This window comes from Homo sapiens, chromosome 3, assembly GCF_000001405.40.
Source record: "Homo sapiens chromosome 3, GRCh38.p14 Primary Assembly".
Classification (NCBI taxonomy): Eukaryota; Metazoa; Chordata; class Mammalia; order Primates; family Hominidae; genus Homo; species Homo sapiens.
Window position 1 is genome coordinate 166,830,700 of NC_000003.12, and position 17,172 is coordinate 166,847,871.

The window sequence follows — 17,172 nt, forward strand, 5'->3', positions numbered from 1 at the left end:
ATAGTGCCAAGGTTACAGAATCATTACTGAAATGTAGGTGTTCTGAAATTTTATCCTATACCCCATGATGCTTTTTAATAGAGAATGAACAAACTTATTAGTAAATCCCTCCTTATACTTTACAGAATATATACTCATAGTAAATATTATATAAACTATGAGTCATTTTAATTTAACGTGAAAAGTTTTTAATCACTCTCTATCTACACCTGTAAATACAATGATATGTAAATAGATAGACAAACAGATCTTTGCTATTTCACAAAGATTCCTTTATTATTTCATCAAAAAAAAATTGAAGGCTTAAGTCTATAAGAGAAAGAAACAGCCAGAAAAAGAGCATGTGGCATACTTAAACTTACTAAAATGAATTAAATTGAATTTATCTGAATCACTGAGCTCGAAGTATGGTTTACCAAATTATACAATGCTGCAAAAATAAGACTGATTTTCAGACAGAAAGTAAAGACATAAATTTTATTCAATATGTATCAAAATACAGAAAATAAAATCATCAGGGGTCAGTTGATAACAATTCATTTTCACTAAAAATTGACACCAGGTATTAAGATAATAGTCTGGGTAGATGTTTTGGCTGGCTTTGGTATGTGTACTGAAAAATTAACCCTCAATAATTTCACAAATATCTGTGGAGTGCTTACTGTGTATTACGTATTATATCATGCTATCCTCACAACAGCTCAATAAGATAGATATTAACTCTATTAGTGAATGATAAACTGATACTGAGTTTCTAGATCTAGGCTGTCTAATAGGTCTAATGTGGCGGCCACTAGCTAAATGTGGCTATATATTTAAATTTGAATTAACTTAATTAGATACAATTTAAAATTCAATTATTCACTCACACTAGTCATGTTTCAAGTGTGCAATTGCCACATATGTCTAGTGGCTGTCCTATTAGGCATACAGATGTAATACATACCATCATCACAGAAATGTTAATCACACAGCACTGATCTAGATCTCGTAGTTCTTCAAGAGCTTAAGAAAGCTAATCTCCACTAATTTACTAGCCTGCATGCTCACATTATATAACCCCATTAAACATTTCTTTAGCAAAATGTTTCTTCAGCACATTCTGGTGTGGAGAAAAAAGCATCACCTCAGGGATATGAGAGTTCATATCTTTTGTGAATTATAGTTCTATAATAGATATGGGTGCCTCCAGCATCATAGAATGAAGCCCTAGTTACTGATATATAAGCCAGTAACTCCCTTTGCATTAATGTCATACTCATTAAGAAACTATATTTCCAACAGGGAAAGAATTCTTCTCAGTTAACATTCTGAGCTGCATAAGAGTTGCATACATTATAATGTAATGTAGGTTAAAAAAGTTCTTGCTAGGCCAAGAAGACTATGGTACATATAGGCACAAAACAATTGGATACAAAAAAATCTGTTATAACCTCTAATTCTGTCATAGAGAGAACCCAAAGTATTATAGACAGCTTTAGACCTGCTTTCTTTCTCGTCAAATAGTAAAGCATATAGACAGCTTCTTGTTCAGTTGGAAAGAAACAGTATTTACACAACTGTAAAGAAACTTGAAGCTAACCACCCATTCTTTCTTCTAAAATATGCATAGATAAGTAAGATCTCCAGCATATGAGGAATGCCAGCCACTTGAAAGAGAAAGGTCAAGAAAAACTAAATTGGGAAAGAAGTAAAAAATTAAAGAATTCTTTAATGCAATCTGTTATATTTAAGAAGATATAATATCTATAAAACAAGAAAGTAAGTTATAAAAAGGAAACTGTTACAGGAAAGGGGTCCTGATCCAGACCCCAAGAGAGGGTTCCTGGATCTCACGCAAGAAAGAATTTAGGGTGAGTCCGCAGTGCAAAATGAAAGCCCCGAGGGCTGCTGGTTGCCCATTTTTATGGTTATTTCTTGATGACATGCTAAACAATAGGTCTGATTATTCATGCCTCCCCTTTTTAGAACATATAGGTAACTTCCTGACGTTGCCATAGCATTTGTAAACTTCAGGGCGTTGGTGGGAGTGTAGCAGTGAGGACAACCAGAGGTCACTCTCATCGCCATTTTGGTTCTGGTGGGTTTTGGCCGTCTCCTTCTCTACAACCTGTTTTATCAGCAAGGTCTTTATGACCTGTATTTTGTGCTGACATGCTATCTCATCCTGTGACTTAGAATGCCTTAACCCTCTGGGAAAACAGCCCAGTAGGCTTCAGACTCATTTTACCCAGCTTCTGTTTAAGATGGAGTTGCTCTCGTTCACATGCCTCTGACAGAACCACTGAACAAGTAGTTTTAAAAGATTAAATATTTTAATATATCTATTGTATATTTTACATGTTTGGTATTCTTTTGTATAACAAATGGAAACTTTTTAAAAAAAGAAGAAATAACTCACAACATAGTGTAATTATATGGAAATTATAGGAGGAAAAAAAAGAAATAAAGAGTACTTGATGGTTCCACATGTCCAACAAGAGCCTCCGAAAAGTTGGCAGGAAAAAAAATGAATGAAATAAATTCTTAAAAAGAAATACTCGGCCGGGCGCGGTAGCTCATGCCTGTAATCCCAGCACTTTGGGAGGCAGAGGCGGGCAGATCATGAGGTCAGGAGGTAGAGACCATCTTGGCTAACAAGGCGAAACCCCGTCTCTACTAAAAATACAAAAAATTAGCTGGGCACGGTGGTGGGCGCCTGCAGTCCCAGCTAATCGGGAGGCTGAGGCAGGAGAACGGTGTGAACCAGGGAGACGGAGCTTGCAGTGAGCCGAGATAGCGCCGCTAAGGTCTGGCCTGGGTTAAAGGGCGAGACTCCGTCTCAAAAAAAAAAAAAAAAAAAAAAAAAAAAAATAACAAATTCTTCAGAAGTAAAGATAGAGATAAGTCTTCAGTTTGAAAGACTCCTCCAAGTGCTGCTAAGAGTGAATTAAAAGAAAGAATCATACTTAAACAGACTCCTTTAAAATTTCAAAGTTTCAAAAATAATGTATTGGATTTCATTTAAAAAATGCTTACAAAAGACATCATTAAGAAAATAAACAGAAAAATCAGACTGGAGAATACTTGAAATGCATGTATAGGTCTAAGGAATTATATTCAAAAATTATAAATAACTCCTGCAAATCAAAAATAAAACAATCCAATGAGAAAATGAGCAAATTACTTGAAAGAGTAATCATTCCTCAAAAGAATCAGAAGAAAAAGTAGCATACGGTATGGTGGCTTTCTCTTTTAAGAAAGTCTCCTTCATTAATATACAATGCCCAATCCATTAGCTTTTTTTGTTTGTTTTTCACCTTCTTTTACCACTGACTGCACAAAATATAAAGATGTGGTTTATATTATACTAAGAAAACTTGCCTGTGAGAACCACATGACAGGTTTGGTGCTTGTGGTGTTGGTGGTAGTTCTTTCATTTTTGTCTTTTCATATTATCATTACTTTGTTTTTAATATCTTTATTATGATACAACTGATATACAAAGAACTGCACAGGCCGGGCATGGTGGTTCACGCCCGTAATCCCAGAACTGGGAGATCAAGGCGGGTGGATCACCTGAGAGTCAGGAGTTTGAGACCAGACTGACCAAAATGGTGAAACCTTGTCTCTACTAAAATACAAAAATTAGCTGGGCATGGTGGTGGGCACCTGTAATCCCAGCTACTTGGGAGGCTGAGGCAGGAGAATCGCTTGAACCAGGGAGACAGAGGTTGCAGTGAGCAGAGATCGCACCATTGCAGTCCAGCCTGGTTGACAGAGCGAGACGGTATCAAAAAAACAAACGAAAAAGCAAAAAACTGCACATATTTAATATGTACAATTTCATGAACTTGGATATATGCAAACAATTATGAAGTGATAATCAAAGTCAAGATAATGGTTATATCCAAAACTATACAAGATTTTCTGTGTTCATTTGTTTTTATTTTTCCTTTTGTTTTTTGATGATCTTGGCTGTGGTACTGGTAGTAAGAACATTTAAAGTGAGATCCACACTCTTAGTAAGTTTTGAAGTGCACAATATACAATACTGCATTAACTGTAGGCATTTTGTTGTGCAACAGATCTCTAGAACTTTTTCATCGAGCATTATCAAAACTTGACACCCTCTGAAGAACTGCCGTTTTCCCTAAGCTCCAGGCAGCCATTCATGTAAGTGGAATCATGCCATGTTTATCCTTCTTTGACTAGTTTATTTTATTTAGCATAATATCCTCTGGGTAAATCCATGTTGTCACAAATGGTAGGACTTAATTTTTTAAGGGTGAATAATATTCCATTGCATGCATATAGCACATTTTCTTCATCAAATCAAGTGCAATGGACACTTAAATTTTTTCTATATCTTAGCTATTGTAAATAATAATGCAATGTGTATGGAGCTCTCTTTGAAATTCTGAATTCAATTCTTTTGGATATATGACCAGAAGTGGAATTGCTAGATCATATAGCAGTTAATCTTTTGAGGAACCTTTTTTTCTGTGTTCCGTAGCTATCGCACCATTTTATGTTCCCATAATGTACAAGAGTTCCAATTTCTCCACATCCTCACCGATACTTATTTCGCATGTTTTTATTAATAGCCATCTTAAAACAAGTATAAGATGATACCTCATTGTGGTTTTGGTTTGTGTTTCCCTAATGATTAGTAGTGTGAAACACCTCTTCATGCACTTATTGGTTATTTGTATGTGTCCTTTGAAGAAATGCCTGTTCAAGCCCTTGGCTCATTCATTTTTAAATTTCTTTCTCTCTTTCTTTTCTTCTTTCTTCATTTTCTCTTTCCTTCTTTCTTTTCTTTCTTTCTTTCTTTTGCTGTTAAGTTGTAAGAGTTTCTTATATATTTTGGAAATTATCTTCTTGTCAGATACATAGTTGGCAAAATATCTTTTCCCATTGTATAGGTTGTCTTTTCACTCTGTTGATTGTCTTATTTGCTGTGCAGAAGCTTTTAAGTTTGATGTAGTCCCACTCCAGGTTGGGTGGGGAAATTGAGCAGTACACAGACCAAGCAGAGCTCTCAGGGAGGCTGAAAAGAAAATGCAAAAGTATTTGTGTGATAATAATTTTTACCCAGTCTTATAAATTAAATAAAAACATTTTCCCCAAATGGTGCAATTTACATTAGCAAAGATTACTTGCTTAAGGAACAATTTAAAAGTAGCAGAGGGTTGTTTACTCAGTTAGATTCTTATCAGAAGATAGATTGAGAGATAGTACTAGGAACTGGAAGTGTTTTGCAATGGAGTTGAATTTAAACTAGAACCCCCCACCCCGTCAAAAAAAAAAATGAAAGCACAGGAATTTTACTACCATTAAGAAAGTGCTGACAACAGTATAGTGAATGCCATATGATGTAATTAAACACTTGACTAAATAATCCCTGTAAATATAGAACTTCTTACCTTCTACCAAATTTATTGTTACTTATTTTTATTCACTGAAGATTTTAACTTCTGGAAATTTTTCCAGAATTCTCACAAGACATAAGGTAAATACAGGTATCAGAAAAATTGAATGTATATTGTAGCCAAAAGTGGGAAATATTGGTAATTATTTTAAAATATCATTTAGGATGTTATCAATTATTTTTTAAAAGCTAGTAATAAATTTCATAGAAAACGTGTAAGACATATGCATTTAAAATACATATATTTCTAAATAATTAAAAACATCTGCTCATCAAAATAACAATCAAAATTAAATCACAATGAGAGAAAAGATTTGCAATATAATTACATGACAAATTTTATTTTGATAATATATAAAGCACATCTACATATCAGTAATAAGAAGACCAAAAAGCACAATTTATAAACTGGTCCTATGACTTGAACAAACACTCACGTAAGAGTGATTTAATCAAATTATATGTGTATATGTGTGTATTAAGGTGCTAAGCAATATTAGTTAATGGAGAAATGCAAGTTAAACTTTGTTCCTTTGGGAATGTGAAATAGTACAACCACTTTGAGAAACTGAAAGTTTCTATTAAAATTAATCTTACATCTTTTCCACAAGCCAAAAATTTTAATTCTAGTATTTACAAAATAAATAAAAATGTATGTTCACAAGAAGATTCTATAAGAATATTCATGGCAGCTTTATTTATAAAAGACAGTAACTGGATGCATTCCAAATGTACATTAAGAGAAAAAATGAATAAAAGGACTGTGTTATTAATCACACATGGAAATTTGGCACATAAATAAAAAATTTTATTTGCAACAACATAAGTGATTTTCAAAATCACTATGTTGCGTAAAAGAAGCCAGACATAAACAAGCATATTTTATGTCATTACATCTTATGAATTTTCAAAACAAGCCAAACCAATCTATAGTGATGGTGACATAATAGGAAATGTATATTTGGTCTCTGCCCCCAGTTTTTGGCACAGAGTTCCTAAAACCCTTGTAATTTCCAAAGCAATAGAGGTGCTAGGAGAATCTTTGTTTCTAGTGTTTGGTCTTTGATCTTAGTTTCTGACATAGGGTTTCTAAATCCCTTGGGATTTACTGGAGGATAGAATTTTTTTTTTTTTCTAATGAGGTATCTCTTGGTGGCCTTTTGTATAGCTCTTGGATGGGGGCTGGTCACTAAAAAAAACCAAGTCATGATTAGAAGCTTGGAGCTTGTAGCCCTACTCCTCATCCTCCAAGGAGAGGAGAGGAACTAGAGATTGAGTTAACAATTATCAAGCATACATTAGAAGCTTTTATAAAAATCCCTAAAGTTTGGAGAGCTTCTGGGCTGATGAACACATCCATATGCCAGGAGAGTGGTATATCCCAGCTCCATGGAGATGCTTGAGACCCTTCCAGAGCTTGCTCTATGTACCTCTCAATCTGGCTTCTTATCTGTATCCTTTATCATTGCCTTATAATAAAGAGATAAACTTCAGTAAGTGTTTCCCTGAGTTCTTTGTGCCATTACAATAAATTCTCAAACATGAGGAGAGTATAATGGGAATCCATGAATTATAGCCAAGTCAGACAGAAGTGAGAGTAACCTGGGAACCTACTACTTGTGACTGATGTCCAGTAGGGGGCAATCTTACGGAACTGAGCTCTTAATCTGTGGCATCTGGACTAACTTTAAATAGGTAGTATCAGAATTGAGTTATGTTGTAGGGCACCCAGGGAGTGTCCAGAGAGTTGGAGAGTCGGTTGGCGTGGCGAAAAAAAATTCATACATTTGGTGTCAGAAATGAGGTATTGAGTGAGTATAGAGAGGACTGTATTTTCTCTTTGTAGTGATAGAAATCAAAATAATGGCAGAGATGTGTTGATTTAAAAAGGACAAAGGGAGCTTCCTAGTATAATGGGAATATTCTATATCTTAACCTGGGTGATAGGTGCATGGGTGCATAAATATGTAAAAATTGATCGGGCTGTAAGTTTAAAATTTGTATGTGGCCTACATGTAAATTATATTTCGATGATAAAAAGTACACCTGTAGAAAATCCGTTATTATTATTAAGACACTAGAGTTTTCCTTTATTTGACAATCAGTATTCAAAATGCAAAGATATGTTTTTATTTTAACATTGCTTTTTGAACATTATTTACAAAAGATATTTTGCTGTCATATATTTTAAGGTAAGCTTGTTCAGCCCACAGTCCATGGGCTGCATGCAGCCCAAGACAGCTTTGAATGAGGCCCAACACAAATTGATAAATTTTCATAAAACATTAGGATTTTTTTTGCTCATCCAGCTATCGTTAGTGTTAGTGTATTTTATTTGTGGTCTGAGATAATTCTTTTTCTTCCAATGTAGGAGCCAAAAGATTAGACACACCTGTTATAAACCATTCTGTAATTTTCTGCTTGAATAAATGGTATAACATTACTTGTTGCTAGAATATGTTTCAGTTACAAATTTTTTAAATACCCAAATAACAGGAGGGGACCAATTGCTATTAAAAGGAAAAGAATACATAGCTTTAAATTATGTTATCATGAAACATTGACTGAAAATAAGTAAATCACGGATACAAGTAAGGAAGCTAAAAAAATAAAGTATGGAAAGGGAGCAATAAGTAAGTAAATTTGAGAATTAATTGAATAATAAACCAACATAAGTCAAGAGCGAAATCTATGAAAAGAATTTTTAATGACAAATATGCTAAAATGTTAAGAGAAAAAACACAAAAATAATATTAAATACAAAAAAACTACAAGTGAATAAGAGGACATTAAAATGTTATAGGATATTTCTATATGTACTTTATTACACTAAATTGTAAAAGTTTTAACAAATTGATTCAATAATTAAAATGCTAATCAGGCTAAGAAGCACAGAACAAATTGAACAAATTATCTCTCACAAAATAAACATGGATAATTTTACAGAAAATGTTATGAAAATTTTAAATAGCATCGATATTATTTAAATTGCTTCATTATATTTTTAAAAATTAAATACTTACAAATAAATTATAGGAAGCTAGCATAATTATACTACCAAGATTGTACAGAAAAGTACAAATAAAAACCTTATCTATGGTTGAATGTTATTTATGAATGCACAGGCAAAGACTCCAAATAAAATATTAGCTTATCAAATACAACAATATATCAAAACATTGATATACCTTGAGTAAATAGAATTTAACTCAGCAATGAAAACGAAGTCAACATTTGAATAACTAATAATACTATGATGTATTATCTTAAAAGACTAAAAGACAAAAAACAGCTTCACAGATTATGTAAAAGATAAGGTGCAATTCACCACCAATTTCCAGTTTAATAAAAGTTTCAGTAACCTAAAAATAGAATGGCACTTTCTTAATTTGATAAAAAGCATCTATTAAAAACTAACATTATACATCAATTTTAACAGGGAGACCCTAGACAGTTCTATTAAAGGATCCTAATTTCTGGCTTCGCTAGAGGTTTATTAAAGAACATTCTATCCAATATGTAGCATTAAAAACTTGACCTGTGAATTAGATATCAGTATCTTCTTCTCTTTCTCACTTAAATCACTTTTGTATTCTGTTGACAAAATGTGTATTATGCTACACTTTACACATATCTGTGCAATATACATAGAGCAATAAAAAGGATTAAAGAGTAGAGCAAATGGGTCTTCACTTGACCCTCACAATGAAAAAAATTCTACAATGCTTATTTCAACTGTTAAGTATATTTGTCTTCCGTGACTGGTTATACATTATGGTGGATTGGAATTCCATTCACATAAACTCTAATGCTTGCTTCTATGTCTCAGCAATCAACTTCTATGCCTTACCAGTCTCTGAACACAAAGCTTATTCTATATAATTTAGGATCTGAATCACAAAACAAAAAAAGTACGTTGCTATTATCTTATATATGGAATTATTTTCTTTTCAATTTTCCACCTCAAATTAGATTCATTCATTCATGAATATTTACTAAGCTTCTGCTCTGGGTCAGGCTTTGATCTAATTACTATTGGCACAAAGATTAGTGAGCACCAAAGTAACACAGTTTAATAGTAGAATTATTCAACTAAACAAAGTTGAATAAGTGATATGTAGGAGATACGAATATAGTGCTATGAAAGTACATAGGCGATTTTAAATACATCATCTCTATACTTTACAATACCTGGTGCACAATGAGTTTAGTTATTTTAGGTTAGCAACCACCAACTACTTTTGCATAGTTATTTCACAATAAGCATTTAATCTTCTATTGTATGTTTAATGTGTCCCTTGAAATTAACTTGGAATCGTCAGAAGACCTGATCTCCTCTTCTCTCAATTTACTCCATTTCATGGTATATTGGTTATATCACTAAAATATATCTGCTCCAGTATCTTTTTATCCTCTTTAACTACCACATAGACCAAGCTACCACAAAGTACAACCTCATCTCTCCAATAGCCAGCAATCGTATCTCCTTGTTCCCACTTTTAATCTCCAGCCATGCCACAAACTCAGTGCAGCCTGAGTGGTCTGTTTAAAACACTTTTTTGCCTAAAATATTTAATGGCTACTCATCATACTCAGGAAACACCACGGTTCTTATCATGGCCTACAATAGTATTATCTGGCTGAATCTCCCTCAGGAGATTTGTCATGGATGTTTCTTCTACATGAAATTTTCTTCCCTGAACTCTCCTCATGCTTGTTTCTTCCTCATTGTTTAGGTATCAGTCCTATTACATTCTCAAATAAAATTTTCTTTCTCCTCACTTCCATCTAAAACTCTATGACTTTCTACTCCATTATCTAATTTTAGTTTTTTATTTTTATGTTTTAATTTTTAATTTTATTTTTTTGAGACAGAGTCTCGCTCTGTTGCCCAGGCTGGAGTGCAGTTGTGTGATCTCAGCTCACTGCAACCTCCGCCTCCCGGGTTCAAGTGATTCTCCTGCCTCAGCCTCCCAAGTAGCTGGGATTACAGGCACATGCCACCATGCCTGGCTAATTGTATTTTAGTAAAGATGGGGTTTCAACGCGTTAGTCAGGATGGTCTCGATCTGCTGACCTTGTGATCTGCCCACCTCGTCCTTCCAAAGTGCTGGGATTACAGGCATGATCCACCACGCCCAGCCAATTTTAGTTTTTTCATAACACTTTTCAGAAAATGAAATTACCTTAGAGTATTGCATAATTGATTTTTATCTAATCTATTATGCATATACTTAGGAAATTAATGAACATATTATTTTAGCTCAAGAGTTAGCTATCTACTATTAACTCTTTACTTGGTGTCATGAATTTAAATCCACTAGGTTAGAAAAGTAGGTTTCTCCATCTTATGCCCCAAACAGAACCCCTGATCCACTCCCCTGACTTCATTCTTCACCAATTATTAGTGCTTATTAAAAAAAGGTATCTGGCATAGAGAAAATGTGCCACTAAAAAAAATTAATTAAATTAATGAATGAACAACAACCCTCAGGATATAGGTTTCACCATTGTACAGGTGATTGCACTTTGTTAAAGAATCATATGTGACTAAGGGCAATCATTAATTTTATTTAATTTCTCTTAACGTTAACATCCTACAAACATATTAAAATAATAATGAGAGTCACTGGAAATATCAGTTGTTCATATATCCATGTTCCTTGTTGGTCCTTATTTTCATGCAAATATGAATTTATAAAATTGTAGTCATGAATCAGTTTTGCCGATAGCTTCATAATTCTAATTTAAACTGATGTACAATATTCTATTAATTAGTTGAACTAGAAGTTTGCTACTATTTATACATATTTTGGTTATCAATAATATACAATACAATGTATGATACTTATTATATACATTCTTTCATTGACTTATCACCTGTCTTATTTCCTAGTATTGAATTATAAAATTGCATAAATCAGCTAAAGATTGTAAACACTTTTATGGCTCTTAATATCTATCACAGAAGGTGTAGAAAATATATTAGTGATTATTGCATCTCTAATGTAGTACATCCTTAATGCAGCAAGCATCTCTATTGCATTCCTAATGTGATAAACACATAGTGAATATACAATTAATTTATTAAATGGTGAATATTATCTAAATGGTTTTCCACAGACACATGCTAATTAATATTGCATATTAATATCAATTGATGTTTTAGACTTTTAATTGCAAAAGGTATCTGTTTTACTGATTTGCTATATTTGGTCAAATATTTTTCAATATTGAATATTTTCTGGAATTCGGCCTTTCCACATATGCATTTGAGGTGCTTCCCCAAAGTCTGCATCTCCATGGGTATCATGGTTTGCAGTGGCTTTTCCAAATTTTTCCAGTCTACGTGCAGTGCCCGGGACTGAACAATTCCAGCAAAGGCACCCACACAGGACATTGCAAGGCCAGACTTGGTCCCACATAAATCCTGGTTGCCAAGATTTGCCAATCAAAACTTTCTGGCTGTACACAGTGGTCATGCATGTAATCCCAGCACTTTGGGGAACTAAGGCCATGAGAGGTGACAGCGTGCTGGCAGTCCTCACAGCCCTCGCTTGCTCTGGGTGCCTCCTCTGCCTGGGCTCCCACTTTGGCGGCACTTGAGGAGCCCTTCAGCCCACCGCTGCACTGTGGGAGCCCCTTTCTGGGCTGGCCAAGGCCGGAGCCCGCTCCCTCAGCTTGCAGGGAGGTGTGGAGGGAGAGGCGCGAGCGGGAACCGGGGCTGTGCGCCGAGCTTGCGGGCCAGTTGGAGTTCCCGGTGGGCGTGGGCTTGGCGGGCCCCGCACTCGGGGCAGCCGGCTAGCCCTGCCGGCCCCAGGCAATGAGGGGCTTAGCACCCAGGCCAGCAGCTGCGGAGGGTGTACTGGGTCCCCCAGCAGTGCCCGCCCACCGGCGCTGCCCTTGATTTCTCGCTGGGCCTTAACTGCCTTCCCGTGGGGCAGGGCTGGGGACCTGCAGCCCGCCATGCCTGAGCTGCCCACCCTCTCCGTGGGCTCCTGTGCAGCCTGAGCCTCCCAGATGAGCGCCGCCCCCTGCTCCAGGGCGCCCAGTCCCATAACCACCCAAGGGCTGAGGAGTGCGGGCGCACAGCGCGGGACTGGCAGGCAGCTCCACCTGCAGCCCTGGTGTGGGATCCACTGGGTGAAGCCAGCTGGGCTCCTGAGTCTGGTGGGGACGTGGAGAACCTTTATGTCTAGCTGGGGGATTGTGAATACACCAATCGGCACTCTGTATCTAGCTACTCTGGTGGGGACTTGGAGAATCTTTATGTCTAGCTCAGGGATTGTAAATACACCAATGGGCACTCTGTATCTAGCTCAGGGTTTGTAAACACACCAATCAGCACCCTGTGTCTAGCTCAGGGTTTGTGAATGCACCAATCAACACTCTGTATCTAGCTACTCTGGTGGGGACTTGGAGAACCTTTGTGTCTAGCTCAGGGATTGTAAATGCACCAATCAGTGCCCTGTCAAAACAGACCACTGGGCTCTACCAATCAGCAGGATGTGGGTGGGGCCAGATAAGAGAATAAAAGCAGGCTGGCTGAGCCAGCAGTGGCAACCCTCTCAGGTCCCCTTCCACACTGTGGGAGCTTTGTTCTTTCGCTCTTTGCAATAAATCTTGCTACTGCTCACTCTTTGGGTCCACACTGCCTTTATGAGCTGTAACACTCACCACGAAGGTCTGCAGCTTCACTCCTGAAGCCAGCGAGACCACAAGCCCACCGGGAGGAAGGAACAACTCCAGACGCACTGCCTTAAGAGCTGTAACACTCACCGCGAAGGTCTGCAGCTTCACTCCTGAGCCAGCAAGATCACGAACCCACCAGAAGGAAGAAACTCTGAACACATCTGAACATCAGAAGGAACAAACTCCGGACACGCCGCCTTTAAGAACTGTAACACTGCGGGGGTCCGTGGCTTCATTCTTGAAGTCAGTAAGACCAAGAACCCACCAATTCTGGACAAAGCGGGATGATCACTTGAGATGTGGAGTTTGAGACCAGCCTGGGCAATATAGTGAGACCCCCACCTCTACCAAAAAATGTTTTAAAATTAGCCTGGCACAGTGGTGCATGCCTGTAGTCCCAGCTACTCAGGAAGCTGAGGTGAGATGATCACTTGAGTCTAGGAGTTCCAAACTGTAGTGAGCTGTAATCACACCATTGCACTCAGCCTGAGCAACAGAGCAAGAGCTGGTCTCTTAAACAAACAAATTCTAAATCCATTTTAACTGTCAAGGACTGTGCAGTGACCCCTGGACAGGTGACTATGCACAAGAACTGGGATTTGCATAGGCCCTGTCCCAATTTTTCTCCTTTAGGCCACTCCTTAACCACACATTAAGTTGACCAGATTCCCTAAGGATTTCCAGTAATTCTGACTACTGTGTTTTACAAGAGCCCCATGGACTGACCCTAGTTCCAGAATGGTGGTTTGGTAAGCAGATAACTCTTGCCAAGCAGCTTTGTTTCACAAGACTGTGTGAGACTGAGCCACCTGAATGATTCAGACAATCTGATTTGAGGGGGTTTTCACTTACACTATTCATAAAATGAGTTTAGGGCTCTGGACTACTAATGGCTCACCACCCTAACTTGCACTTGAGATAGGTGTCTGGGCCCATGTATGTACTCTTGCTCATCCATGTAGGATCCATGATGTCACCTCCAATCTACAACACCTAAGAAGAGTGGGGGTAGTAGCAAGCAAGCATCTTTAACCTTGTATATCCTTGCCATTGCACTCAGAGATGTTATCCTACCATTTCTGTTGTCTTCACTGGATGAGGCAGTCCTTCTGGGGTGGCCACAGAATACTTCCTCTGAAGACTTGGAGACAGCCTGCAAGCAAAACAGGACCTTTTGCTTGATGTCCTCTCTTACCTCCACTTACACAGTGACATTAGGCTTTCCTGGATTTGTCAACGGTCATGTTGGGAGAAAGACAGACACATTCTGCTCAAGTGGGGCCGCTATTAACACCCTTTTCTGGACACTTTACTATTCTCCTACTGGTATTACTTTGTGGAAGGCAGAAGTATGGTCAACATGGAAAGAGGTCATGTTCTAGGATTGCATGTTTTGACCTCAAGAGATCAAAGAAGATAGAGTTTATGCTATAAAGTCCCACATAGTAAATTAAATATGACCAGAAAATGAATTATTTTTCACATTATATTGCATATGCTGGGTAAATTTGCTTTTGTTGTCATTACCATAAAGTATAGTAAAAACAGTTAAGAGAGTATTTGGAGTTCAGTATTCACAGGTGGCACAAAGAATAAGTTAGTGTCAAGAATAATGATGCATTAAGTAAATATTATTTTATTTTAAGTTCCAGGATACATGTGCAGGATGTGCAGGTTTGTTACACAGGTAAACAGGTGCCATGGTGGTTTGCTGCACCTATCAACCCATCACCTAGGATTTAAGCCCAGCATACATTAGCTATTTTTCCTAATGCTCTCCCTCCTCCTACCCCCACTAACAGACCAGTGTGTGTTGTTCTGTGTCCATGTTCTCTCATTGTTCAGCTCCCACTTATGAGTGACAGCATGAGGTGTTTGGTTTACTGTTCCTACATTAGTTTATTAGTTTGCTGAGGATAATGGCTTCCAGCTCCATCCATGTCCCTGCAAAGGACATAATATCATTGTTTTTTTGTTTGAGATGGAGTTTTAGCTTTTGTTGCCCAGGCTGGAGTGCAATGGTGCAATCTTGGCTCACTGCAATCTTCACCTCCCAGGTTCAAGCAATTCTCCTTACTCAGCCTCCTGAGCAGCTGGGATTACAAGTGCCTGCCACCATGCCCAGCCAATTTTTGTATTTTTTTTAGTAGAGACAGGGATTCACCATATTGACCAGGTTGGTCTCGAACTCCTGACTTCAAGTGATCCACCTGCCTCAGCCTCCCAAAGTGCTGGGATGACAGGCATAAGCCACCACACCCGGCCAATCTCATCCTTTTCATGGCTGCATAGTATCCTACAGCATACATGTACCACATTTTCCTTATCCAGTATATCATTGATGGGCATTTGCGTTGATTTCATGGCTTTGCTATTGTGAATAGTGCTGCAGTGAACATACAAGTGCATGTATCTTGATAATGGAATGATTTATATTCCTTTGGGTATATACCCAGTAATGGGATTGCTGGGTCAAATGGTATTTCTGGTTCTAGGTCTTTGAGGAATCAACACACTGTCTTCCATAATGGTTAAACTAATTTACATTACCACCCATAGTGTAAAAATGTTCCTATTTCCCCACAGCCTCACTAGCATTTGTTGTTTCTTGACTATTTAATAATCACCATTCTAACTGGCATGAGATGGTACCTCATTGTGGTTTTCATTTGCATTTCTATAATGATCAGTGATGTTGAGCTTTTTTTTTCATTTGTTTCTTGGCCACTTAAATGTCTTCTTTTGGGAAGTGTCTGCTCATGTCTTTTGCCCAATTTTTAAGGTTGTTTGTTTGTTTTTTTCTTGTAAATTTGTTTAAGTTCCTTGTAGATTCTGGATATTAGAACCTTGTCAGATGGATAGATTGCTAAAATTTTCTCCCACTCTGTAGGTTGTCTGTTCACTCTGATGATAGTTTCTTTTGCTGTGCAGAAGCTCTTTACTTTAAATTAATTCCATTTGTCAATTTTTGCTTTTGTTGCAATTCCTTTTGGTGTTTTGGTCATGATATCTTTGCCCAAGACTATGATATTGCCTAGATTTTCTTCTGGGTTTTTTTCACAGTTTTGGGTTTTACATTTAAGTCTTTAATTCATCTTGAGTCAATTTTCATATAAGGTGTAAGCAAAAGGTCCAACTTCAATTTTTGCATATGGCTAGCCAATTCTGCCAGCATCACTTTGATCTTTTTCATTTCTTGTCTTCTGCTAGCTTTGTTGTTTCTTTGCTCTTGGTTCTCGAGTTCTTTTAGTTGTGATGTTAGGATGTTAATTTGAGATCTTTCTAGCTTTTTGATGAGGACATTTAGTGCTGTAAATTTCCCTCTTAACACTGCTTTAGCTGCATCCCAGAGATTCTGATACAATCATCTGTCTCATTGGTTTCAAAGAACATCTTGATTTCTGGCCTAACTTCATATCTACCTGGGAGTCATTCAGGAGCAAGTTGTTAAATTTCAATGTAGTTGTGTAGTTTTGAGTGAGTTTCTTAGTCTTGAGCCCTAATTTGATGGTGATGTTATCTGAGAGACTGCTTATTATTTCAGTTTTTTTTTTAATTTGCTGAAGAGTTTTACTTTCAATTATGTGACGAATTTAGATTAAGTGCTATGTGGCACTGAGAAGAATGTATATTCAGTTGTTTTGGGGTGGAGAGTTCTGCAGATATGTATTAGGTCCACCTTATCCAGAGCTGAGTTCAAGTCCTGAATATCTTTGTTAATTTTCGGTCTCAATGTCTAATATTGACAGTGAGGTGTTAAAGTCTCCCACTGTTACTGTGTGGGAGTCTAAGTCTCTTTGTAGGTCTCCAAGAACTTGTTTTAGGAATCTGAATGATTCTGCATTAGGTGCATATATATTTAGGATAGTTAGCTCTTCTTGTTGAATTGAACCCTTTACCATTATGTAATGCCCTTCTTTGTCTTTTTTGATATTTGTTGGTTAAAGTCTGTGTTGTCAGAATCTAGAATTGCAACCCCTGCTTTTTTCTGCTTTCCATTTATTTGGTAAATTTTCCTCCATCCCTTTAATTTGAACCTGTGTGTGTCTTTGCATGTGAGATGGGTC

At 37.1% G+C, this 17,172-nt stretch overlaps 1 long non-coding RNA gene across 1 annotated transcript; it reads right to left on the reverse strand.

The window, feature by feature from the left end:
* Positions 1-4,558: 4,558 nt before the first annotated feature.
* Positions 4,559-16,882, reverse strand: LOC124909498 (uncharacterized). Its single transcript, XR_007096288.1, has 2 exons — positions 14,180-16,882; positions 4,559-5,032 (listed from the first exon to the last, which is right to left on the reverse strand). It is a non-coding gene; the product is annotated as an uncharacterized LOC124909498 (long non-coding RNA).
* Positions 16,883-17,172: the final 290 nt, after the last annotated feature.